Source organism: Homo sapiens, chromosome 9, assembly GCF_000001405.40.
Source record: "Homo sapiens chromosome 9, GRCh38.p14 Primary Assembly".
NCBI classification, from domain to species: domain Eukaryota; kingdom Metazoa; phylum Chordata; class Mammalia; order Primates; family Hominidae; genus Homo; species Homo sapiens.
The window spans coordinates 124,743,944-124,770,507 of NC_000009.12; the positions used below are offsets into that span (position 1 = coordinate 124,743,944).

The window sequence follows — 26,564 nt, forward strand, 5'->3', positions numbered from 1 at the left end:
AGGCCAGGCACAGTGGCTCACGCCTGTAATCTCAGAACTCTGGGAGGCCAAGGCAGGAGGATCCCTTGAGCTCAGGAATTGAAAACCAGCCTGGGCAATATAGTGAGACCTCTACAACAACAACAAAAATATGTCTGTCTTTTTCAATTAGCTGGGCGTGGTGGCATGCACCTATAGTCCCAGCTACTTGGGAGGCTGAGGTGGGAGGACCACTTGAGCCTGGGAGGTTGAGGCCGCAGTGAGCCAGGATCACTGCACTCCAGCCTGAGTGACAGAGCAAGACCTTGTCTCAAACAAAAAAAGAAAAGAAAAGAAATTTCAAAATGCAAAATACTTAATACAGAAAAATATAAGAAAATGTATACAATAATCTGTCAGTTGCCATTTATTGAATCTATTACTATAAACCAGGCATCAGCTTGACACTTTACATGAATTCTTACTGAAAAATAGCTACTATTGTCTCCATTTTATAGATCTAAACAGATCATTGTACTCCATTACATGGAAAGAGCCACAAAAGTCAAAACAAGAGAACTTCTATTGAAAGCATCTTGACTAATAAAACCCTACCTTTGCGCAGTGCATGTTCTGCAACAGCCGGATGGATGGGAACTTAGCATAATCTCAAAGAGCAACCCTGATGCTCCCATAACAGCAGGACCTCAACGTCCAAGAAGAATACCACACCTTACTTGAGCCCATTTACAAGTCACCTCCTGAAAAATCCAAGATGCCTGTCAGAAGCAGCTACTGAGGGAAGTGAAGATGTTTTTATTTGTTCATTGTCATTGTGAAGACTGACTAAAGTCTTACTGATCAAGGAGTTTGTTTGAACATGGTCAGAGAGCTTTCAAAGTCATTTCAGAAAGTGCCCCACACCATCCTCAACAGATGGTTTGATGGAAGAGAAGTAGCCAGCTCTGCTCAGGAAATCCATTAGTAAGGTGCAGATACCACCAAAGAGATGTCCCACATGTGGCAGAATGTACCTTTTTCCTTATTTTCTTTAAAATCTCCATATAAAAAGGGAAGATGGATGCATGAGGGCCTAGAAAATGTTTATCCCTCTGGATCAATCTTAGGAATCTATCCTAAGAATCAGAAATACAGAAAATAGTACAAAACTCGAGGCCATCTAAAAATTCAAACACAGGAAAATGATTAAATTATGTACACTTATTCAATGGAATATTTTGCGAACACTATAAATGTTTTCCAAGAGTTTACAAAGGGCAAATACCATATTAAAAATACAATGTAAAACTGTATTCTTGGAATGAGCTCAGGTATATTCCAATACATATATACATGAAAAAAAAAACACTTTGGTCCATTTTCTCTTAGTGATTATCTCTTAGTATAACTAATTTTTCTTCCTCCATTCTACTTTTCTGATTAAAATATATTGTTTTTATAAACAGAAACATACATTAAAAAAATCCTGGCAGGGCACAGCGGCTCACGCCTGTAATCCCAGCACTTTGGGAGGCTGAGGCGGGCAGATCACCTGAGGTCGGGAGTTTGAGACCAGCCTGCCCAACATGGACAAACCCCGTCTTTACTAAAAATACAAAATTAGCCGGGCATGGTGGCGCATGCCTGTAGTCCCAGCTACTTGGGAGGCTGAGGCAGGAGAATCGCTTGAACCCGGGAGGCAGAGGTTGCAGTGAGCCAAGATCGTGCCATGGCACTCCAGCCTGGGCAACAAGAGTGAAACTCTGTCTTAAAAAAAAAAAAAAAAAATCCTAAGAACAGGCCGGGTGCGGTGGCTCACATCTGTAATCCTAGCTTTGGGAGGCTAAGGCGGGCAGATCACCTGAAGTCAGGAGTTCAAGATCAGCCTGGCCAACACAGGAAACTCCATCTCTACTAAAAAATACAAAAAATTGCCAGGCATGGTGGTGCATGCCTGTGCAATTCTCCCTGCCTACTCAAGAGGCTGAGGCAGGGAGAACTGCTTGAATCCGGGAGGCAGAGGTTGCAGTAAGCCAAGATCGCGCCACTGCACTCCAGCCTGGGCGACAGAGCCAGACTCTGTCTCAAAAAAAAAAAAAAAAAAAAAATCCTAAAAACAAAATGATTTGGCTAAACTGTCTACAATCAACAGCTTCAACTGAAGGGGAAAAAAAAAACTACCATTCTCTAAATGACTTTTAAATTACTATCTTATTAGAAACACAATTCTGGGCACTAATCTTTCTTACATACTAGTCATGAATGCTTAAAGCTCAGTACTATCTCCCACGTCCCAGCTTCAGAAATCCATTGTGTGGCAACAAAGAAATACATCTTTAACCTTTCATCCCAGGATCTTTCAAATCTGAAGCAAAGCTAGTTAATCATACCTATGAATAATTCTGTGCCAGGCACAGTGGCTCACACCTGTAATCCCAGCACTTTGGGAGGCCCAGGTAGGTGGATCACCTGAGGTCAGGAGTTCAAGACCAGCCTGGTCACCACGGTGAAACCCCATCTCTACTAAAAATACAAAACTTAGCTGGGCATGGTGGTGGGCACCTATAATCCCAGCTACCTGGTAGGCTGAGACAGGAGAATCACTTGAACCCGGGAGGCAAAGGTTGCAGTGAGCCAAGATTGCCTACTGCACTCCAGCCTGGGCAACAGAGCGAGACTCCGTCTAAAAAAAGGAAAAAGAAAAAAAAACAATAATTCCAAAAGAAATTTTTAAAAACTATTCAAACCTGGTGAGTTAAGACAGAAGAGCAACAACCAAGTATTTATAGCACAACATAAATACAAAAGATACTCTACAAAATAGGACTAAGGGAGAAAAAACTCCTTTTTTTTAGATGCTAAACTTTCCTATATTCTAAAATCAAATTCAACAAATATTTACCTAGTGTTTTCCATGTATAGGCTGCTATCCCAGACTGCATTGGAAAAATAGGTGAGTAAAGCTGGCTACCCCTAGATTCTTAAAATCTAGCATAGAAAATAGAAAACTGACTGGATACAAGGACTTTTGAAGTAAATGCCCTAATGGAGACATTAACAGCAGTGGTCACACTATTTATTTCTTCTTAGGGAAAACTAGAAAAAAGTTAATGACAAAATGGCACTTGAATCAGACTAGTAAGGGAGGAAAGAAAGAATGTAAATACAGACACATTATCAATAATACTCAGCCATACATATCTTTTGGATGTCCTTCCACTGCTGGCAACTATTTCCCCTAGAAGCAGTCACATCCTTACAGATGATTATACAGACCTTGTCTGACTTTTTTTTTTTTTTTTTTTTGAGACAGAGTTTCACTTAGTCACCTAGGCTACAGTGCAATGGCATAATTATGGCTCACTGCAGCCTCGACCTCCCAGGCTCAAGGGATCAACCCAACCCGCCTCAGCCTCTCGAGTAGCTGGGACTACAATCATGTGCCACCACGTCCAGCCTGACATGTTCTTTACTAAATGTCCTCACAGGCAAGAAAGGCCTATCCCAGCACACACACAACCTTCTCATCCTAGGTTGGATGGTCTCATCCACATACACTTTCACTTACACTTCCCAACTGATGATTCCCCTCTCCCCCAAACTTTCAATTCTGGATGAGACTCTTCTCCTGAACCACAGACCCATCTATCCAAATGTCTATTGTCAATGTCTACCAGGATAAATAACCCATAGGCTCCATCAATTTCAACATGTCAAACTGAACCTATTATTTTCTCTTTGAATCCTCTTTCTCCTGTGTTCTTCACTCAGGTTCCAGGTACCACCAACTCTCATCCCCCAAGCCAGAGATCCCCAAAGACTCCTCCTGGGCTCCCACTTTACCACCCTTCCCAACAGTCCCCTCGAATAATATAGTCAATCACCAGGACATTTTCATTCTCTCTCAAATATCCCTAGATCAAGCTCAAGGCATCTAATCACCCTATAATCCTAGACTATTATGACTGCTCCTCTCTCTTCCTGGAATTTAATTTCCTAATCCACTCAAAAATCCTGTTTGATTCCCCTTTTCAACTTTTTAGCATACATTAATAGCACCAAATTACAGAAATAAACAAATCCAACAATTGAAAAGCTACTTTTTGCAACCTTATTTCCTCGAAACACCCCAAAGCTTGAAAAGGATAACACCTAAATTCCTATTTGCAAACTCTCTTTATACAGAGATGCAAATATACCAACTTTGATGTTAAAGCAAGTTTCTAATATTAAGATATCAATAAAGTGATATACTAGGCAAGATGCCTTGCTTCAGTATTAATAAGCCATTTGTATAAGGCTAAGTGATCTACTCCCTCTGTACTTAGATTTTCTCCTCAGTGAAAGATCAATTTTCTTAGCATCATTTTTCAGCTCTAAAGTCCATGAGTTTATCAAAAGTTGCAGTTGTGTATAATAGGGGGTACAAATCATACAATGCTAACACTTGAGGAACCCTTAAGGGGTTATCAAGATTCTTAGATTTTTTAAAAAAAACTAGAAGGATAAACTATAAATCATTCCTAATCTCTTCCATCCCACTGTAGCCCCCATTTTACAGAAAGGAGAAATTGTTTAAAGGGAATAACATTTGTAGGATTCCTGTGATTTAAACACTAATTGTGGTCCCATAGGCATTTCCCCGATCTAAAAATGGGAACAAAAGAACTTAACTTAAGCCGGGCGCAGTGGCTCAAGCCTGTAATCCCAGCACTTTGGGAGGCCGAGGCAGGCAGATCACGAGGTCAGGAGATCGAGACCATCCTGGCTAACACGGTGAAACCCCGTCTCTATTAAAAATACAAAAAAAAAAATTAGCCAGGCGCGGTGGCAGGCGCCTGTAGTCCCAGCTATTCGGGAGGCTGAGGCAGGAGAATGGCATGAACCCGGGAGGTGGAGCTTGCAGTGAGCTGAGATCGCGCCACTGCACTCTAGCCTGGGCGACAGAGCGAGACTCTGTCTCAAAAAAAAAAAAAAAAGAACTTAACAGGGCTGTTGTAAGTATTAAATGAAATAAATATAAGTACTCAAAACAGTACCTAGCATATAGCAAATGTTCAGTAAGAGTTACCTATTATTGGCCAGGTGCGGTGGCTCACGCCTGTAACCCCAGCACTTTGGGAGGCCAAGGCGGGCGGATCACCTGAAGTAGGGAGTTTGAGACCAGCCTGACCAACATGGAGAAACTCCATCTCTACTAAAAATACAAAATTAGCCGAGTGTAGTGGCGCATGTCTGTAATCCCAGCTACTAAGGAGGCCGAGGCAGGAGAATCACTTGAACCCGAGAGGCGGAGGTTGCAGTGAGCCAAAATCGCACCATTGCACTCCAACCTGGGCAACAAGAGTGAAACTCCATTTCAAAAAAAAAAAAAAAGAGTTACCCATTATTATAATTGGAAACCCTCCAAAACACAAATATAAACAGACTCAGAAAAGACTTCTTAATTTAAAAAATCTAAACCACTTTGCAGCAGCTTTAGGGAAAGTGTTCCATTCTGCACACACTTAGGGAATAGGACCTTTTACTAAGTCATCACCCAGTGCTATTACTGAGAGGTCAGCTTCTTCATGAGGTTGCAGTATTCATGTGAAAATTGACCTTTGGGTCAACCATTCAGATCTCAGATCACCCAATCAATAAAATAAATACGGTATTTTTTTTTTAAGAGACAGGTCTCGCTATGTTGCCCAGGCTGTAGTGCAGTGGCCATTCACAGGAACAATCATAATGCACTCCAGCCTCGAACTTCTGACTCAAGCAATCCTCCTGCCTCAGCCTTCCCAGTAGCTGGAACTATAGATGCACACCATCACACCAGCTTGTTAAAGCACTACAGATACTAGTATACCCTGCCCCGCTAAAATCACACTCTTACATAACGCATGTTTCTTTACAGTTTTTGATACCTATTATAAGTTCCACAGGCTTAGAAGTTCCTCTTCTAGCATTAACATACATTAGCACAAACATAAGGTTAGAATTGCATCCCTACTTCCCCACAGCTCAACTGGACTTCCAGAGTAAGAGATGATTATTTGGTATACAGCTGTTCTGAGTTTAACAATCTTCTCTCTGAATATGCCTCACATTCCTGAATAAGTCACAGTGACCATACTATTCAAAAAGTAAATACTAAGGATATCAAATGAGAAGAACGTATTTGTAAGGTCAGCAAGGCAAACTTTAATACAAGCTGACCTGGAAATTGAGACTGTATAGACACATTGGTTACTTTCAGTCCCTACCATGTTAAGGCTCTCATGTTTCTAGTTTATATTATTCACTCTTCATCTTGTATCAAATAGTATTTAAGAGCCTAATGCTATTTTGCTTTGTTTCCTAAAAGGCATTAAGGATCAAAAGTCTCTCCCATTCCACATGGAGTTCTGCTTCCATGTCACATGCCCAGGGCCAGCATTTTTAAGCAAGGGTCTCTTTGCTTCCTTGTCTCCCCATTGGCAAGGATTTGTCCTAAACCTCACAACAGCATCTTTCTCCAACATCACAAATTGGCTTTGGACTTTGCTCTTCTCCTTAGAAATACATAAAGGCATCTTTAAAAAATAAATAAATAGGCCAGGCGCGGTGGCTCACGCCTGTAATCCCAGCCCTTTGGGAGGCCGAGGCAGGCGGATCACGAGGTCAGGAGAACGAGACCAGCCTGGCCAATATGGTGAAACCCCGTCTCTACTAAAAATACAAAAAATTAGCCGGGCGTGGTGGTGGGCGCCTGTAGTCCCAGCTACTCGGGAGGCTGAGGCAGGAGAATGGCGTGAACCCAGGAGGCGGAGGTTGCAGTGAGCCAAGATCGCGCCACTGCACTCCAGCCTGGGTGACAGAGCGAAACTCCGTCTCAAAAAAATAAATAAATAAATAAATAAAAATCATGACCAGTTAAGGAAAAAAAAAGTCAAGATTTTTAAACAAGCAATTTTCAAAGACCATACTTGTCTCCACGGCTAAAATTGAAGTCTGGCTTTAATTCTTGCATCTACCATTAAAACACAGTCTCCTAAATACTAGACTCCTTAAGGTACAAATGGCCCTTTGTATCCTCTACCAGAAGCTAGTGCTCAGATTCCAAGAGTGTAAGCCCTGGATCAGACACATTTGGGTCTGAGTCCCATCTCTCCCACTTAGGGGGCCAAGTCACTTAAGTTGTTCCTCCCATCTGCAAAATGAAAATAATGTTACTCTCCTTATAAGGTTGCTGCATGTAATTATCACACAGTGGGCACACAATAAATTTCAGCTCAAGAAAAAAGGAAAGGCAAACCATTAACGACAAAATTTTCAGAGAAAGACACTAGTCACACCCAAGTACTAATTAGGCTAATACTGCACATCAATATAATTGTTAAATCACAACTCAGCGAAGAAATCAGTTGAGACCAAAACTTTCTAACAAGAACATAAACAGTTCAACATATCCTCTAAGAACGAGAGAAAAATTAAGTTTTTGTGTGTGTGATTTACAATTTAAATGGTAAAAATTCTTCTAGATAGAGCACATATGAGCTTGACAATAACATTCGAAACTCCTGGCTGGAAGTCCTCCTTACTTCATTACTTCATACCAAGGCATGCTGACAAACCTCCTTACCCTGAGCTAAGCTCTGGATTGAGACCCTGGAATCAAAGTGTCACCGAGCAAGAATTATATATTCTAGCTTATACCCAAGTATCAGAAAAATTTTACTAAAATATCAATTAAACCAAGTGGGGTGTGCCATACACTACATGAGTCTGGTGCCTGGGATTAAAAATCTATTAGAAACGGGTTTCACAAGATGATTTATCAAGAATCCACAGTAAATGTTCAGAGATATGGCTAGCATAGACAAAGTACAATAAATTAGAAATAGGAAAATTACCATAACTGGAATTTCTTTAAAAAATCCTCAATTTCTTTCAAAGTACAAAGTGTTTCCATGAAGAATTTTAAGGATGCTATTTAAAATAATTCGGAACTGAATTTTTTTCTTTTAGTAACTAGTGGAACAAACTTTTTAAACAACAGGATTACAAAATTCCTCCTTTTGTATTTGAAGAAGCTATTGTCACAATACAAAATTAAATAAAACAGAAGGGCAGGATGGCTCACGCCTATAATCCCAACACTTTGGGAGCCCGGGGTGGGCGGATCACTTGGTCAGGAGCTCAAGACCAGCCTGGCCAAAATGGTGAAACCCTGTCTCTACTAAAAATACAAAAATTAGCTGTGCATGGTGGCATGCACCTGTAATCCTGGCTACTCGGGCTCCTGAAGCATGAGAATGGCTTAAACCCAGGAGGCAGAGGTTACAATGAGCCAAGATCACGCCACTGCACTCCAGCCTGGGCAACAGAGCAAGACTCTGTCTCAAACAAACAAAAAAATTAAATAAGAAAAAATGACAATAGGTTTTTTTCTTATTCAAAAAGTTTTAAAGATAAAATCAAATTAAAATTAAACAATCAATTTTTTTAAAAGGATAAAATTTTTAAAAATCAAATTATAATCTAGGCTTCAATTATGGTAAAGTTACATCAGCTACCTATTGTTTCCAATAGAACACAATAAAATGGTAATTAAACATAATTATTAATATAAATTACAAAACTACAACACGCAATAAAAGTCAAAGAAATTGTCCTTTAATGCACTTGAGATAACATCTGTTTCAAAAACTGCTGGCAATATCTTTTCTCAAGCTCACTTTTCCAACATTATCTAATGAGGAGGCAAGGGAATGTTTATGATGTCTTTACAGTTATTTCAATAAATCATTTATGTAGGGGTACAAGTACCTACAAAATTACTATATATTTTACACCCAACTTCTGAAATTCACTAAGCACTAAGAAACACAATGTTTTAAGAAAGACCTAAGTTTTTAAAGATGAAATCCTATCTCACAGCAGTTAAATTAAAAAAAAAAAAAGATCAGAAAAACACATCTAAAAATCTCTACACTACTCTGGAGTTAGCTGAATTCTCTTAGAGGATGAGGAAGAAAAGAGGAGAGGCAGGGACAGGGAGGCAAGAGGAAGGATGAAAGGAGAGAAAGAAAAGTAAGGAGGGGGTACCTAGGCAGTAAGGCCTGTGGGACTGGTTCAACTTCGAACAAATTTCCTCTTCCCTAAGACTCAGTTTACTCATTTGTAAAATGTACACACCATCACCTATGTCAGTGTTTCCCAAAGCAAGGAAACCACTGGATGATTTTAAATGGTACAAAGAGAAGGCATCATAAAACATTCCAAAGCTGTTAGTACCTTTTCCACTCTCTTTCAATCCTTCTGATTACATCAGAAGAAAAATGTGGTGTTAGTTTTTCTAGTGCCTCTCTAGTGCTTACTAATCTCTCTATCAAAGGCCTGGTCAGAGACCTTGGCAGACAATAGCATTTAGAATTTAACACAATTCTATTTTCATTAAATTTTTTTCATTGTTACTTTCTACTTGTGGCAAATAATTTTTCATTTAAGCTAATAAAAAAATTCATTTTAAAATAAATGTTGGGTTGCAGAATGTTAACTATTCAATATTTAAAAAATTAAATAAGCAATATATTAGAAAATGACAAAAATCATGTGGTGATACAGGAAAAACTGAAGATTTAAAAATACTGGTTTAGCAGAGTAGTGGTTAGTAGAAGGTTATTTTCAACTCTAAGCCTCAGTTTACTCATCTATAATAAGGGAATATCACCACCTATCCAAAGAAAAGTTATGGAAAGGATTACATGAGTTAGTTTAGCTCTGTGCCTAGTGCTGAGTGTTCAACAACTACTTGTTCCCTTCCCTTTTAAGGATATTACCAGAAAACCTTTTTAGAGACCTCCAGAGAGAGACTTTGGGTAGGGGATGGGGATGCTGGGCTTCCTGTATATCAGAGACAGGAGCATTTGCTCTGGTTCTAATACTTCCCACTAAGAACCTCCAGGGACCTAGCCTTGCTTTTACCCTGATAAAGCTGCAGTCTACTCTCCTAAGGCTCATAATTCTACTTACAAGCAAGACTGGGAATAAAGTGCTACAGAAAAGGGGCACATATCTTAAATCACTGAGAAGTCAAACCCTAAAGGGCACCAAGGAAGGAAGGACCATTTTATAACAAGTCCAAGCCAAAATAAAGTATTTCATTTGGGCAAATTCAACAACTCTGTAATGGAAAAGAAAGTCACTAGGTGGTTCATAACCAGCCTTTATCACCTGATATTGTCAAACTAGAGCCCACAGGGGAGAAAAACCTTGGGAGGAGGAGTTCCAACTCAGAGTAGGAATGCTTCAAGAAAAGGAACACCAACTGAGTACTTACTACAGTCCCACCATTGTGAGTAATAGGCACTTTATTTTACATATATTGCCAAATTTTTCCAAACCTATATGAGATAATTCCAAGTCAACTGACCAAATTGCCAAATCTCCAAATAGCCAATTCTCTAAATTTGTCAAAAATTTGTTTTAAATATTTGGACAGTTTATAAAAATTCATATTGATGAGACAGTTAATTACCTTTTAAGGATTTCTGCCAAGTCAGAACTGACCGTTGGAATACCAGCATTTTTAAGATGTTCAATTTGTCTCTACACTGCAGCTGGAGAGAGCTGAAGCAGAGAGGACCTCTGCTGGTAGAAATATACATCCTTGTCTGGGCTGCAGGGCATGGGGGAGAAATGATGTATAGGAAACGGGAAAAACAAAAAGGAAAAAAATGGTGGGGAGCATTTAAGAAAAACGAGATGAACAACGGGTTCTGTAAGGTCTACAGATTAGATTCAGCAAACTGTCTTTTATTGAATGGAATACTGGGTAAACTGAACATCTGGGAAACTGGTTTTCAATGACTTGGATTGTGGTAAACTGGTCTGCTGTACCTATGAGATCGATGATATTAACATTACTTACAGATAAGGAAATTAACTCAGAAACTTTTGTAAAGTAATACAGCTACATTCCAGGTTTTCCATAAACTACCTCATTTCATTCTCCAATAATCAATGTGGTGATTCCACATCCTTTTACCACCCTCCACCCAGTATCTCCACCCCCCTTCCACTCAACTGTCAAAAAAATACATTAAAAAATCACAAGAATAGACAGGATTTAAACCCAAGTCTAACGTTAAAGCTCAGGCTCTAATGCACCTAGTTATCACTACATCCTACCAATTTGCTGAAATAATTTTTAACCCCTGCCCTCCCACTGCTGAAGTTTGTCTACCATTACTACAGTAACTCCTTTCTGCAAAGATCTGCTTTTCAGAGGTTGAGTCACATTACCGTGGAAATATTTCAGGCAAAAGAGTATTTCAGAGATCTCATTTTATTTACCCTGAACAACCTTATTGCTCACACGATTTCAGATCAAATCAGAACTGAAATTGCTTGAGAACTTCCATTAGAGACTCTCAGACTGGCAATCCCTGCTGTGTATTAACAACTTTTTCCGTTCATTATGTTGGCTTCATTCACAAGCACACTGGCATGTAATTTCATTATTGTGATCTAAGAGTGACTAGGTTAGTCTCATTAAATAAATGTAAAAACTAAAATAATCCTAAAATCTGCAAGATCTATGTAACACCTTACCGCTTGCTCAAACTATCTGCTTTACTGCTGGACTCTTCAGGGATTTATCACATTTATGATGCTGGAAGACATGTCTTATCTGACCTACTGACACATAAAACCTAACTTTTCTTATAGCAACAATGTCAAGGTCCTTTCTATCAATAAGATAGTACTTCAAGGCTCTCTAAACAGCTGCGAATATATTCTACCCTTTTGGTAAGCAGAAAAGTTCTTTATTCATAGAACTTAAGATGTGGCTCACATATAAAGCATTTTTAAAACATTAATATTTTTACTTTTACACTGACTGAGTATAATCAGAAACTTTCACTAAGAAAATTCCCACTGTGTAAAATATTTTAAGAATCAATTAAACTGTTACTTTTAAAAAAGTGTTAAATATTTGTTCTGATTCCCCACTGGGTTCAAAAACCTCTTTGATGTTAAGATGGGGAAAAGATAGATCTTTTCAGCAAATCTGAATAGCACAAAATGACACTTTGAAAAATGCCACCCTCTCTTAAATCTTTTCAAGTACATATTTTAAATGATCAACAAATAGATGACAAACTTAATTATTTTTGTAGCCCATATTAGGCTTCCCTTTGCACTTTAGTAGTACCTCTTATTAATTATTTCTGATCTTCAATGTACACCCAAGGCTACGCTTAATGTTTTAGCAAATAGAATACCATTCTTTTGAAATTGACAAAAGCTATAAATTTAACTCAAGACAGCTTTTGTAGTTCAGTTAGATTCAAGGTCATCTCAAGGCTTTTAATTACTAACCAGGAATTGAGGAGGTTTGTACCCGCTATAGTTGAGAGAAAGAGCAGCTGGCTTATTCATTTTCTTATTAAAGAGCATTATAAAACCTATCTTGGCAAATTACAAGTTTCTGATCACCAGTGGTGAGCACAAAGCAGCAAAGCAAATGATCTTCAAATGTTCATGTTTACTTTCAATCAACATAAACTTTAACAATGTCTAAAGACTACTTAATTTTAATTTCAGCAAATATGACTTATGCTTTAATAAAAAAATGTATAGATAGCTGGATTCCCAAAATGTTCCTATTTCCATTCTGAAATCAGACCTGTTAAAAACTGTGAATGCCCTTCAAATTAGCATAAGATTTATTTAGATTCTTTCACCATCAAACACTGCACAGGATCAGGATAGAAACTAGCCACTGAGGAACCCATGCAGATTTCTAAAGGAATGCAAGTTTAAATTCTCTCTGCATGTACTTAATTTCTATTCACACTCAGGTATAGGTAGGTCTCAAGACACATTAAAGACTGTGGGAGATGATATAATTGTATTAGAAGACACACGCACATCAACTTATCATCCCGAGATTTTTAGAGGCAACCAGAGAAGGCTCTAGGGTGTCTCTGCCACCCATTCACCCATATCTATAAGAATTCGAAGGTAGCCTCAGAAGGGTCCTTAAGCACAGCTCTGACCAGACTGGAGATGCTAGGATGAGGGTGCAGGGCAACATTCTAGTGCCAGAATCAAAAAGAAAAAAAAAGGGCGGGTAGGGGGGGAATGACTCTCTCTCACCCCAAAATGATAAAAAGCAAAGAGCCTACCCACAGTATCTCAAATTCTATCTCAAGCACCAGGCATTTATTAAAATAAATAAGTACTGCTGGCAGCCCTGGATGTTGGTATGCAAGGTATCTCAGTGTAAATTAAAGTAGTTGTTGGTGAGGGTACATTGAGATAGACACACACTTCTCAAAATTATCCCCCAAAATAAGCCAAGATAAAAGCAAGCACAAGATGGTGTGAGAAGTACTATTATAACACTGAAAAAATAAAACCTATCTAAATGGCCAGCAATGAAAAACAATGGGCTGTCATACAGCTATCGAAAGTTTCAAATAACTTGATGTTCAATGAGTGAAGTTTATAACAGGAGAAAAAACATTTAAAATTAAACAAAAAGCAGAAAACGTAATAGTATATACTGTATGACTAAAAAAATGCAAAAAAAAAAAAAAAACCTTGGATTTGAGGTCTAGAAGAAAATGTTAATGAAAGTTGCTTAGTGGTAGGATTATAGGTTATTTTCCCTTCGTTTTCCATATTCTCTTCAGTAACCATGCATTAATTTTAAAAACACTGGATTCTTAAGCAGCTCACATCTTAAGAACCAAAGGACCTAAGGGCCACAGGCAATTCAAGCACAGACAGACCCTCAGAAATCACAAGTATTTAAAACCTAAATATACGATGCAGCTGTATCTTTCCTGCTTTTATTTATATGCAAGCACTTCCAACTGTGTTTCCCAGGGTATGTTCCTTAGACAACGCTTTAACCCTGCTTTCCAAACAAGGCATTTGAAACATCGGGTATTCTCCAGCCAGGAGTCCTTATCTATGCTCTGAAACTAGCTTTGGAGAATAAATTTACAGTGTTTCACACACTTCGGCTTGCTCAGTATTTATTTTTTGATGGGCACACTGTACGAAAAGCAAACTTATTTTGAAATATTTTGAAAAGGCTCGCAGCAGATAGGAAATTTTATCTCCAAATGTTAAATGCACTTCTTCACAGCAGTACTTTCAGCAACTGCTTGCAGTCAGTTCTGAATTCCAGGGAACCAAAGTATCTCTCAGATTCGATCTGTCACCAAGAAAGGGAATATTTTTTTGTGGGAAAGCAATTGTATTTTCCCACATTAGGTGATTGATTAAGTTCTCTCCCTAAAAGGCTGATTGGTTTCCTGGTGCCAGTAAAATGATTGATGAATATTTCAACTGCAGCTACCCTGCTACACTCTTCACTTCACCCCTCCCCCATGCACCTCTCCCCTTTCCTGCTGGGTTCCCTTTTTACAGACCAGCAGCATTTAAGGAAGTTTCCCTTCTGTTTTGCAATTTCCCTTAATGAATCAACGTTCTCAAATGAAGCGCATTTAATCTTAGGAAGACAGCACTCTTCTCAATGCTGAATGAGTTTTGCAGATAAATATCCCATTACAAGGAATGAGGAAAAACTCTAAAATTAACTATGAGTTTGACTCAGCAAATGAAACTGTACTCAAAAAAGAGAAAGTGTGGCATGGAGGGGTTATAAATGAAAAAAGTGATCTTGTTTAAACAACAAAAATACTCCATAATTTATTTCAAATTTACATTACAAATTATCATAACATCAGAACTGTAACTGTAAACATTTCTATAAGGCAGACTCAAAGAATGAAATTTACAGATAAATTATGGGATCTCACAGACTTTAAAGCAGCCAAGGGTTCTAAAGCAGAACAGGGAAACAGTTTGGTAAATGTAAATATTCTCAGAGGGATGATTGAACAGTATCTGACATCAAAATCATCCCAGAGAATGTGGGCAGTCAGTACCACAGCTATTTGCTTTAGGCAGAACTTTTCTAAATTGCAACTTCCTGTTTTGCCCAATTCATTCCATCATAAACCTGGAAAATCCTTTCAGGGATTATCTAATTTAGCTCCTCCATTTTTATAGGTGGACCCACAGAGACATGCATTTGAGACAGAGCTAGAATCAGATCCTAGGCATAAAGTATCTCCTGGGCCTCATAACTCCTCAATGTTTGGGCTCCTCTCTAAAGTCTTTTCCTATTCAAACTACTTTGCTAACATAATCTATTAACCCACACTGCCTATCCTCTTTTACATCTTTCTCACTATCTCTCTTTTCATTAGGAAATCACCTTCTGTATTTTATAAATTTTGGACACCTAGCTCTTATATTTCTTTTGTGAGACAGAATTTTAAAAAGGTACATGGGACAAAGGCCACCTTTTCCTAAACTGCATTCCCGAATACAGTCAAGCAAACAGCCACTAGTTTATTGGCCATCTCGTCTTAATCTGGGATATCTAGTCACTTTAAATTACAGGAGAACCATGTTTCCAAACAGAAACTACATTCTAGTTCCAGGAGGGCCTATCAAACCTTGGATTTAGCTTAAACACACTGCTTGACTTAGATATTGGCCCCAATTTCCTCAAGTAGCTGAAAAGCACATTCCTTTCCCTTATATTTTGTAGACTTACTCTGACTACCAGCAAGGGACTCTGAGATAAGCAAAAGGCTCATATTCCTGACTTGCCTCTTTCATTCATTCAATATTCATGGAACACCAATTCTCAGTGCTTAGGATACAGATAAAAGACATTGTACTCCTGCCTTGAGTAACTCAAAACGCCTTCATTCCTTAGCACCCCTTGGGTTCACCGAAGATTGTCCCTGATTTGGCAAAATTGTTTTCTGGCCAAAGGCTTATTAAAACCAACATGAGGCCAGGGGCTGTGGCTCACAGTTGTTAATCCCAGCACTTTGGGAGGCCAAGGCGGGTGGATCATGAGATCAGGAGTTCGAGACCAGCCTGGCCAACACAGTGACACCCTGTCTCTACTAAAAATACAAAAATTAGCTGGGTGCGATGGTGGGCACCTATAATCCCAGCTACTCAGGAGGCTGAGGCAGAAAAATTGCTTGAACCCAGGAGGTAGAGGTTGCACTGAGCCAAGATCGCACCACTGCACTCCAACCTGGGTGACAGAGCTAGACTCCATCTCAAAAAAAAAAAAAAACAACCACCATGAGGTGGGATGCCGAGGCAGGCAGATCACCTGAGATCACAAGTTCGAGACCAGCCTGGCCAACATGGTGAAATCTCGTCTCTACTAAAAACACAAAAATTAGTCAGGCATGGTGGCGGGCACCTGTAATCCCAGCTGCTCCAGGGGCTGAAGCAGGAGAATCACTTAAACCAGGGAGGCGGAGGCTGCAGTGAGCCAAGATCTCGCCACTGCACTCCAGCCTGGGAGACAGAGTGAGACTCCAACTAAAAAAAAATAAATAAATAAAAATAAAAATAAAATAAAAGCCAGCATGAGAGAAAAGAAAAAAGTCACTTGCAATTCTAAGAGTGGGTCTTTTTGGCTCTCTAATCAATAAAAGTTGAATTCTGGGCCTCTCCAACATAGATAAATGCCCCAGATTCTCAGGTTTTTGCTTTTAGGCAGATACTATGCTTGGCAATTTACAGACCTTGTCTCTAATCCTTATAACCCTACAGTCAATTTCAGAAATGTCAGAGTATATTGGAGAAGAGGGGATGTTAAATCTATGAAACAAATTATTAATGCTGTTACTAGCTGCGAAATCTGGAGGTTTAAACTCTGTGGGTCTCAGTTTTCTCCTGTAAGATGGGGATAACAGAACACCTACCTCAGAGTTAAGACGATAAATATACATAAGGTGTTTAGATTATAAACACTATGTAAATGTTAGCTATTAATGTTAAATGAGAACACTAAAGTTCAGAGAAGTCAAGTGACAAAGTCGCATAGCTGTGATCTTTGTTAGGCCACACTCCAGAGTCCCTGCTCTTTGCCTCACACCATCTAACCAAAATCCTTCCTCCCTGGATGGGACTACTATTGCCATTTCCAAAAAACAAAGCCCTCTAAATGCATGTCAATGGGGGGCTTCCCCCAGGTGGTTTATTATCCTGCTAAAAAGGCATCTTGGGGGAAGGATTCCAAGAATAGAGAGAGGAAGTCTCCTGACAGGTTAGACTTCAAGGGTACAGAAAGAATATGGAAGAAAAAAGCCAAATCTGTCTCAGTTATTAGGTTTCGTAATTAAAGCAATTTAACTCAACTGAAGAATGCAATTGAAGATTTCACATGAATCTTCAAATCCAAACATTAAGAAATAAAAGAAAGGCTTGTATTTTCTTATAACTAAGCTGCAATCCCCACAAAACACAAAAATGTTTTCAAAGGTACATTACATGAAACTCCAAGAATATCAAGATAATTAGAGCTCTTAGGAAGGAAGCCCAAATAATTATCTCACTGATCTTTCAACACCTATCCAAGCTTCACCTTGAGTTCTGATGCGGTAACTCCTTATTTGTTATTCACATTGTTATGTGACATTTCTTCAGCCAGCAAGCCCACTACAGGATGAGTTCTACCTAGTAACTACCCTAAGGAGTAAATTTCTAACTCTTTAACAACACAGTAATTGACTTACACTAAAATGTTACTCACACTAGGAAAGGATATTCTTCGACCAGAGGAAGAGATGCCTCTCCTATACAGACTTTATTACCATCTCAGTGAAAACCAGGTTAAAAGCAAACCAATTTACAAAACTGCATTACCGAAATCACAACTCTAAGACTCAGTGAAGCCAAACATGTCTAAGGAAAGCAAATAAGCAAACTATTCTTGATGGAAGTTTTAAAAAGCACGATAGGATCTTTATCTCTTATAAATTGTTCATTATTCTATAGCAATGACTCTTAAGAAATTCTGTTGTCAGATTTATTTCCACAAATGTAAGTCTACCCTTGGTGAGGCAACTGGTTCTCTTGAAAAACTGCTGCCACAAGACAATTATCAGTTAAGCAACAGGTTTCATGTAGCAGGTAACAAAAGCTTTATCAGAGAACTCAGTGAGAGTGCACTACCACACATTTCATGTATTCCCAAGCAAAGAAAACTTAAAATGATATGAACTCATTTTCAATAAAAGTAGCTCAATTATCGAGGGAAGTAAGAAAACTCCAAAGTAAAAAAAGTACTACTAATGGTATCTGGTGAAGTCACCATCTTCTTTACACATTTCGTTAGTTCATTTAGACCTGGAGTTCTCATATATTTATGCCTGAGTGTTCTTCAGGATCCCTTTTACACTCTTAAAAATTATGAAGGACCCTAAAGGGTTGATATTTATGTGGCTTTGTCTATTGATATTTATCATACTGGAAAATAAACCTATGAAAAATTTAAAATATTTGATAATCCATTTAAATTTAATAAATTCACGTTAGTACAAATAACATTTTTATGAAAAATAAAATTGTCCAATAAAACATAAAAATTAGAAGAGTGGCATTGTTTTACATTTTGCTAATCTCCTTAATATCTGGCTTAATCCTAGCAGCTAGATCTCCTATCTGTTTACCCATTCAGTATATTGTGATTTTTTGTTGTTGTTGAAGCACAGGCAGAAAATCTGGCCCCACAGATTTATAATCGGAAAAGGAAGAAGTATTTGCTTTTTAAAGTAATTGTGGATAGTCTTCTTTGATACTACACCAAAACTCAATTAAGTGGTACTTTCTTAAAGGTTAGTTCAGTGTGAGTTTAAAACCATATCAATGAACTATGTGTAATCCGTTACATTAAAATCCATTGATCAATCTGGCATTTTGAACAGATCTCTTAGCTGTGTAGGATCCTGTAATATCACACATAGATCTTTTGGAAAATACTGAATTACTGAGATATTCAGATTTTCAAAATGTTGACACATTTCATAACATCGAAAATCATATTTATTTCATCATCCATCTCATCAGAAGACATTAATCATTGGGAAGCTGTCAAGCTCTTAGTGGCAAGTACAAGTTTTCCAAAACTAATTGTTGCTTGAAAGCTCAAATTTTATTTACTGGCAACCAATACTGTCAGTTTTCCTTGATATGACAGACTCACTGTTCGTTTAAGAAAAAAATAGTCTGCCAAATGCCCAAGGCTGAATCAAGTATAGTTTAATTATTTCAAGTATTCCATGAACAAAAGTAGCTGGCTCAGATCACAACATAATCACACAAGCACTTTGTCTTAAAACAACCATTTTAGTTTGCACCAGAAGTGCTTGGCATGTACTTTTCCATTTTGTCACACAGAATATCAAAAGTACATGTACTCAAGGGTCAAGATTTAATCATCATTTTTACTGCTTCATCAAGGATGACATTAAGTGGAAAAGTCTTTTTGAAAAATACAAGTGCATGGAAGTGAAGAATATAATGACTACTAATACAGTTTGTGCCTTGATTTCTGGTAAGGGACCAACAGTTTTTACTCACTATTGTTTCTGCAAAATCAGTGTAAATGTCAATACAGTAAAAAAGGCAAATGATGTCTTAGCATTACGATTAAAATATATTTAAGAACATCCTGAAAGGGTCTCAAGGACCCCCAGAGGTTTGCAGACCACACTTTGAAAATCACTGGTTTGGATGCAACCATAAATAAATTTAAGGACTCAATAAATGGGAAGAGATTAAGTTTGAAACAAACAATAGTAATGAATGGTCAAAGAATGACAGAAAATACAATTGAGTACTACTTCATTATTTGTTTATAAATTTTAAAAAGCAAGGGATGAGGAAGGGGGATAAAGTACATAAGGCTACACAGAAGTGTTCTGTCTTCTAGCTTTTCTTTCGTGACAGAAAGACTAAATTAGATAAACTGGAATTAGCCATAATAAAAAGAACATTGCATCTGATCCAGTGGAGCATAAGGAATTAAAAGACTGAATTTTTAATTCTTCCAAGGTGATACAGCTTCATACAGCTTCATGATTGAAATGGGGACTTGAATTAATAAAACTAGTTTTAAAAATGAAAACTGCCAGGCGCGGTGGCTCATGTCTGTAATCCCAGTACTTTGGGAGACTGAGGCACGTGGATCACTTGAGGTCAGGAGTTCGAAACCAGCCTGGCCAACATGGTGAAACCCTGTCTCTACTAAAAACACAAAAATTAGCTGGGCATGGTGGTGGATGCCTGTAATCCCAGCTACTCAGGAGGCTGAGGCAGGAGAATCGCTTGAACCCAGGAAGCTGAGGTTGCAGTGAGCAGAGATCGCACCGCTGCACTCCAGCCTGGGCAACAGAGTGAGACTCCATCACAAAAAAAAAAAAAAGAAAAGAAAAAACTATCTGGTTAAGCTATTCCCTTCACTGATTCAGTCTATGCTTCATTTTGCGGTAGATTTGTTACTAAAATGTTTCCTGAGCTCTAAACTATGGGATTACACCTGAAGGAAACATCATAGATAAAATATCACAGGAAATCTAATCAATCATCTCTTTTTTTCATCAGTGTTTTAGAAGAAAATAGAGAATACAGAAATTTGGGCATTACAATGATGGGTTGGAAGAGCAAGCAGAACCCACTCTTAGACCTCCAAAATGCTCTTATACACAGATCTAAAAATCCATGATTCTATGAAATGTAAGGAGGAACTGGAAATAAAAAGCTGGGAAGATTATCCATCTTTTTCACATGAAGAATTTAGTTGTGCATTTCTCTCTCAAAATATGAATCTTGAGTATATTTTTAATGAGTTATAAATTGTTTACAATGCAAATAGTTGTTCAAGCAAATATCTGTTAGATACATTCTCTGCTAATAATACCACTACAATTCCAATGTGCTATAGCTATTACTCTAACAACTCCCTTAATCACTATTACCAAATTTTTAAAATAATTTCTCACTTGGGCAGTGAGTGCAAAGTCACTATTCTGGGTCAAACCACCCACAGAGTATATCTTCAAATCAAATGCCTGGATTTGTTTCCCTGAATACATTACATGTTGCTGCCCAGGGAATTGGTTTTAGAAACATTACACCTGCCAGCTGACTTATCAGCAGGGCCCATAGAACTGACACCAACTTAAAGGCAAGAATCAGTCCAGAAACAGAAAAATATACTGCTACTGCCATCTGTGGTTTATGCTTGAATAGCTTCTCTGGTGTAAACAAATTGAAGGGTGTAGAGTTTACAATTAGAATCCAAAGGCCTCATCATTTAAAGACACTTTTTTAAAGTTAATTCTTAATGTAACGAATTGTATGGTTTATTTAGTATAAGACGTAAGAATCCGTGATTCTGTATTTGAGATTATATAATGCTGATGGAGAAACCACAAACTACCCTGAATGAAAACTACTCCATTGCATAACTTTATTTGTCCCAAACACACACTCCTTAAAGAAACTCAGAACACTTGAAGCCCTCCTGTGAATTTATAATTAGAATCATTTCTCTTTTGAAATCGTGACTGTCAATATTAAAACAGCCCCCGAAATTTTTAAAGCAAAAAAATTTTAGGAAATCCAGGAATTTTCTATTTAGACGTAAGAATTTGGCCAGTTTGCTTCTGTCAAGATAAAAATTTGGGAGTTCAATTATTCCTATAATTTTTTTAAGAACAAAAATTCCAAAATGCAAATGAAGTTTCAAAGTAGGCTATTTTCACAACGTATTTTCTCTCAGTTTGCTTTCTCAAATGACAACCACTGTAGCTTGGGGATCAAAAGATTTGGTGCAGCTGGGGGTGGGGAAAAAAGCAATTCAGCTCCCCAGCAGCCGGCTGAGGAAATCCTGGTCCGCTCCCAAACTAAATCACTGTTAATTAGAATTACCGGGTTACACTAGTAAAGTCTTATTTAAATAACTGTAACCACTGAAAAAACTCTGGGTTTTTTTGAGAAGCTTTTCTACAAAGGCTGCTGTTTAATAGCAGGTAACAAAGAATGAAGAACGAAATACCGTAGGAAATGTTTTATTCTTTCAAATGATGCTCTCCTCTTTTTCCTGTGGCTATTTCTCCGCCATACTGAAAAACAGGTTAGACATCTCACAGTGGTTTTCTTCTGATTTTCTATTACTTACTAAGGGTGTTACAGTCTAACACCCTTGTCTTTTTCTTAAAGACAAGCCATGTTGGAAAACAATCAATGAACAAAAGACTGGGCTGGATTCTAGAAATACTGTATATCAAAGTTACATCTAGAGACGTTTTTTAAATTTAAGCTCAGCTGAATCTGAAACTTAAGCTCTAAAAAGCTCAATACCCAAGAAAGAATTACCTGCTCAGTACCAAACCACTTTCTTGCTCATTTTTAATAATTCTGGTATTTCTGAACCCTAGTTATCGAAGGCATCCATAAACCCTTAAGAAATTACCTGAGCCAGGAAAAAACTTTAATTAAAAAGTTAAGGTTGATCTTAATGCAGAAGTGTGAAAAACATTTTCCTTCACAACTTAATTGGTTTTGGAAATGCTCTCAAAGTATTACAAAGAGTTGGGTATATCAGATCACTACTTATGTGGGCAGATTAGATAGCTACCTTCTGTTAAAAACTGTTTCAAGCACATTTATTCTTTATTGAAATACAAGCGTGTTTATCTGTTGATTCAGAACTTTGATTTTTCTAATTCTGACCTTTTTCCCACATGACTAGAATCTGTTTTTACACATGAAATAAGGCACTTTTACTGTCCTACTTAAAAAAAACAGACTGACCCAACAATGTAAAATTTACTCTAAAACACATCTTCTCAAGTGTCACTTTCAACTTAATTATTATGCATGGAAAAATACTGAACAGAAAAGTGTCATTAATTTGGCTATAAATCAAAAATAAACTTAAGAAGCAAAGATTATGACCAGCCCCAAAGATCTCGATGAATTTGCTGACAATGAAGTCTCCTAATGTGGGAGAATCTATCCTGGCTTTATGCAATTCTTAAGCTAGAAGTTGCCATCTGAACACAATTCATTAACAAACCAATTTTTCAACATAACCAATAAATAATATCTACCCAATTATAAAAATGAAGTGGTAAATCTTCCCACTAACACAAATGAAACACAGCTCCAAGCTCCAAAACATGCAAGCATCATTAGCAATTTAAAGCCAACTTGCACAACAAACACTAGGGGTGGTATAAGAAACTTCCTCTACCAATGTTACAGCAACAGTTGGCATTTCTACCTACCATCCTCTACTATTCTAAAATGTGGTATTTTAATCTAAACTCTATTTTCCACCTTTGCCCCAAAACCCTAGGAAAAAAGTAGGGAATGAGAAACCAGAAAATTCTAAATAAAATATGGAAATGCATGATTTGGACATATTTTTGGAAATTTACCAGCAGTTATTTTTTTCATTAGCTCCCCATCCAACTCCCTTTCATGTACTAACACATGTGCCTTGCATACACCTTTTTGCTACGGAAGTCAGAATGAATTATAGATTAGGAATCATGTCATCATATTTTGGTTACATGAATCAGAACTGCTGAATGATTTGGTGGCTTGTACACTGGAGACTGTAAATGTGGTCATCTCCCACCTCAGCTATGCAAAATCACCAGTGAATTTGCTCACTGTCGCCTTTCTTCTACCCTAGCCGTCTTTGGAGGTCACAGAAGCTACAAAAAAAGAAAAAAAAAAAAAAAAGAAAAACCTGCGTGCTGTATGTACTAAGAAACAACAGTACTACAGCATGTTTTTGGTTTTGTTTTTTTCTAATGGGAGTAGGAAAAAATTCTGGGGCAACTCAGAATTAACTTAATTTTTTAAATCACAGAACTGAAAAGTTAAATCATCATGGGAAATATTTGCCAATTTATTTTCCAGCATAAACATTTGGACGGCATGGTTATAGCAGAAGAAAAAGGCACCGTGCTATTCAGTGAACTTCTCCCCATTTCCTCTAAAGTGTAATTACATAAAATATGCTTTTAATTACTTATAATGGCTTATAACCTTCCTTTGCCTTCCTTTGCTTTAAATATTTAAAAGTATATTCCCTCATTCTCTTAAAATGAACAAATGCAATATTCAGCATACACTTCCTCAAATCATTCATCTTCCTTTGAAATCCCAAAAGGGAGCAGTCCTCTATTACAACTAAATGAGTTCATGTTTGTTATGAAAACCTACAAGCAACAACTGAAAATAGCGCAGTCAGCACAGGGAATTCCTGGAAGGATGATGGTGCATCAAAAGGCTAGAAAGAAACTCTGTTCTGACAGAATAAAAACCATTCAAAGGACTGTAAATTCAGCATCAATGGTGTTTCCGGTAGGAAAACATTTCTAAAATGCCACCTCCAGTTTATTTCTTCATGACAGAGACCAAAAGACCCCCTATCTGTATAGTTGTCTCTTGAAAATAGTTCATATAAAATAGAAATCAGTCACTAGGAGTAAAAAACAGATAATTCATTTCTTTTCTACTCAGAACAAGCAGTTTCATATATTTTTGGAGAAAAATATTAATTAGGAAGCAAAAAAGAAAAAATGTGCCCATTGTTCCATAGGCAAACTTAAAAAAATTTTTGGCAATTCTTCTGTGAGCATGTTAACTTCATAAGTGCTAATGAACATAAATTGTAAAACATTGCACAATGCTAGTTTTTACACTGAAAAATATCCCACAACGGTCTAGCGTCTAGTGTATTTTAAGCCCATCAAGCTGCCAAAAGTTCCCATTGTATTTTCAGCAAAAAGAAAACATCTGTACCACTAACTTAGACTAATGTAAAGCTTTAAAGCCACCTTAGTCTAAATGGATTGCTCGATAACATTCTTTCAAATGGTTCTGACCAATTGAGGAAATGAGACTATGAATGGGAAATCTGATTAAGAGTTAAAATTACCATTGAGTTCTTTAAAATGTACTAATGAATAATTAATAACAAATGCAGTTCTTAGGTTTCTCTTACAACACTATTATTCTCAAGTAGAATTGAAAGCAATATTGCAGTAAATATTGAATTGCAGTAAAATCCGTCATCTACATTATATGCACAGGTGGGTACAGGAAGTATTCACACATAGGAAGGCATCACAGAAATATACACGCTAATATGGGATATAAGATAGGTTGGGGTTTGGATTCAAAAAAATCAGCATGGGAAAATTTAGATCAGGATTTACAACACTCACAAATTAATACCAAACCAAATCTCCACACAAACTAGCTTAAAAAGTCAAAGGCATTAAAGAAATCCTTTGTTCCTATTATACTGTCTCCTTCTACCCTAACTGGATTCCAGCTTCCCCCTTTGTGACACGGAATTTTATTGATCTCAAACATGTTCACATTCAGAAATTAGTTGCCAACGACAGCCCACGGAACGGCCAGCCACCTAGCCATCATACATCATACACAAATTAAAAAAAAAAAAAAAAGAGCTCTGAAAACACATCATTATTTTTAAGATCAGCAACATCAAGTGAAGTTAACCAAGCTCTCTTCTACACGGACTTTTCCCTTTTGTAAAAAACACCAGATCTCCTGAACTAACAAAATGTTTGACTAGTTAATAAACGTATGAAGGCACGGATCCAACCCAAGATTTCCACCGTCTGTAGCTACTCACTCATTCAACAATTGAGCGCCTAACTGACCTATTTTCAGGTTACTTTCCTCACACCTGCCAGGTCACTGTCCTGATTGAGAAACCTCTTGGTGAAGCAGTTAATTTTTAGTGCCTCCTAACTGTCCCGGGTGTTTGCATTCAATTTGAAATCTGTTACTTGTTAGACACTGTTCGGTCCTAGATCTCTCAGAGAACTGCGAGTTTATGGCGCAGCGAGGGGAGGAGGCACTGATCTCTGAGAGCCTCCCTTTATTCGGAAATGAGGAGATGTGAAAGGTGGAAAACAGGGCAAATAAATAAATCGGGTTTGCCGCCGGAGCGTTTGCCGGCCGGTGCGAGCACCCTTTGTAATGCAGGCCTCCCGGGGCGATCGCCTGCGCTAATTGCTCCAGGGCGCTTTCCAAGTTCAAAAGTTCACCTTTTACGACCTCACAAAAGCTCCTAACACGTTACCAATAAAAACATTCCGCGGCAAACACCGAGGAGGAAAATATCAAACAGATACAAATAAAACACCCCGCAGGGGGAGGGAGCGAAGGGGAGGAGGGCGAGGAAGCCCCGAGGAACCTGAGGACCCGGCCCGGGCGAGGGGGCGAGGGACGAGCGGTAGGAAGGGCCGGGCCAGGTGAGGGATTCTCAGCTCCCAAGGTCCCGGATCGGGACAAGAAAGAGGAGAACTGAGACTAAGAGGTGGGGACCGGGACCTGCCGGGCAGAAGCCGGGAGGAGGCAGGTGTCCGGGGCCCCGGGGCGGGCTGGAGCCCTCGGCCAGGGAAAGCCGTTGCCTGGCGGAGAGGGGAGCTGAGCAGGGGCGGAGACCGGCCAGAGCGCGCGGGGCGTTGAGGAAGGTGAGGCGCAGGGGAAGCAGGAGGCGCGAAGGGGTCCGAAAAAGGAAACGACTGGGGGATGTCTAGCGAACGGGGGTTCGGCAGAGGTGGGGGGCTCGTAGTATTCAAGGAAGAACGCTCGAGGCTGCAGAAGAGGAAAACGCTCTAGAAAGCTGAGCGGTACAAGGGTGCTGTGGAGTCGGGTCAACAGGGCAAGAAGGG

The 26,564-nt window shown here is 38.4% G+C and overlaps 1 protein-coding gene and 1 long non-coding RNA gene across 5 annotated transcripts in view, besides 4 other annotated features; both read right to left on the reverse strand.

The window, feature by feature from the left end:
* The window catches only part of LOC124900274 (uncharacterized), a 30,102-nt gene extending 3,565 nt beyond the window's left edge, over positions 1–26,537 (reverse strand). Inside the window, exon 1 of the long non-coding RNA XR_007061773.1 lies at positions 574–26,537. This is a non-coding gene — a long non-coding RNA (uncharacterized LOC124900274). The remainder of the gene's footprint in view (positions 1–573) is intronic.
* NR6A1 (nuclear receptor subfamily 6 group A member 1) overlaps positions 1–26,564 on the reverse strand; it is a 254,037-nt gene that overhangs the window by 226,669 nt on the left and 804 nt on the right. The gene's annotated exons all lie outside the window — the stretch shown is intronic.
* Positions 1,180–1,680: an enhancer, noted in NCBI's record as "H3K27ac hESC enhancer chr9:127507402-127507902 (GRCh37/hg19 assembly coordinates)". NCBI's record gives its function as "activates a minimal SCP1, AML or CMV promoter by ChIP-STARR-seq in primed H9 embryonic stem cells {active_cell/tissue: H9 hESC(primed)}" and the evidence as "EXISTENCE:reporter gene assay evidence [ECO:0000049][PMID:30033119]".
* Positions 16,583–17,138: an enhancer, noted in NCBI's record as "OCT4-NANOG hESC enhancer chr9:127522805-127523360 (GRCh37/hg19 assembly coordinates)". NCBI's record gives its function as "activates a minimal SCP1, AML or CMV promoter by ChIP-STARR-seq in naive and primed H9 embryonic stem cells {active_cell/tissue: H9 hESC(naive and primed)}" and the evidence as "EXISTENCE:reporter gene assay evidence [ECO:0000049][PMID:30033119]".
* Positions 17,139–17,693: an enhancer, noted in NCBI's record as "OCT4-NANOG hESC enhancer chr9:127523361-127523915 (GRCh37/hg19 assembly coordinates)". NCBI's record gives its function as "activates a minimal SCP1, AML or CMV promoter by ChIP-STARR-seq in primed H9 embryonic stem cells {active_cell/tissue: H9 hESC(primed)}" and the evidence as "EXISTENCE:reporter gene assay evidence [ECO:0000049][PMID:30033119]".
* Positions 26,068–26,317: a silencer, noted in NCBI's record as "silent region_20264". NCBI's record gives its function as "represses an Ori minimal core promoter by ATAC-STARR-seq in GM12878 lymphoblastoid cells {active_cell/tissue: GM12878}" and the evidence as "EXISTENCE:reporter gene assay evidence [ECO:0000049][PMID:35858748]".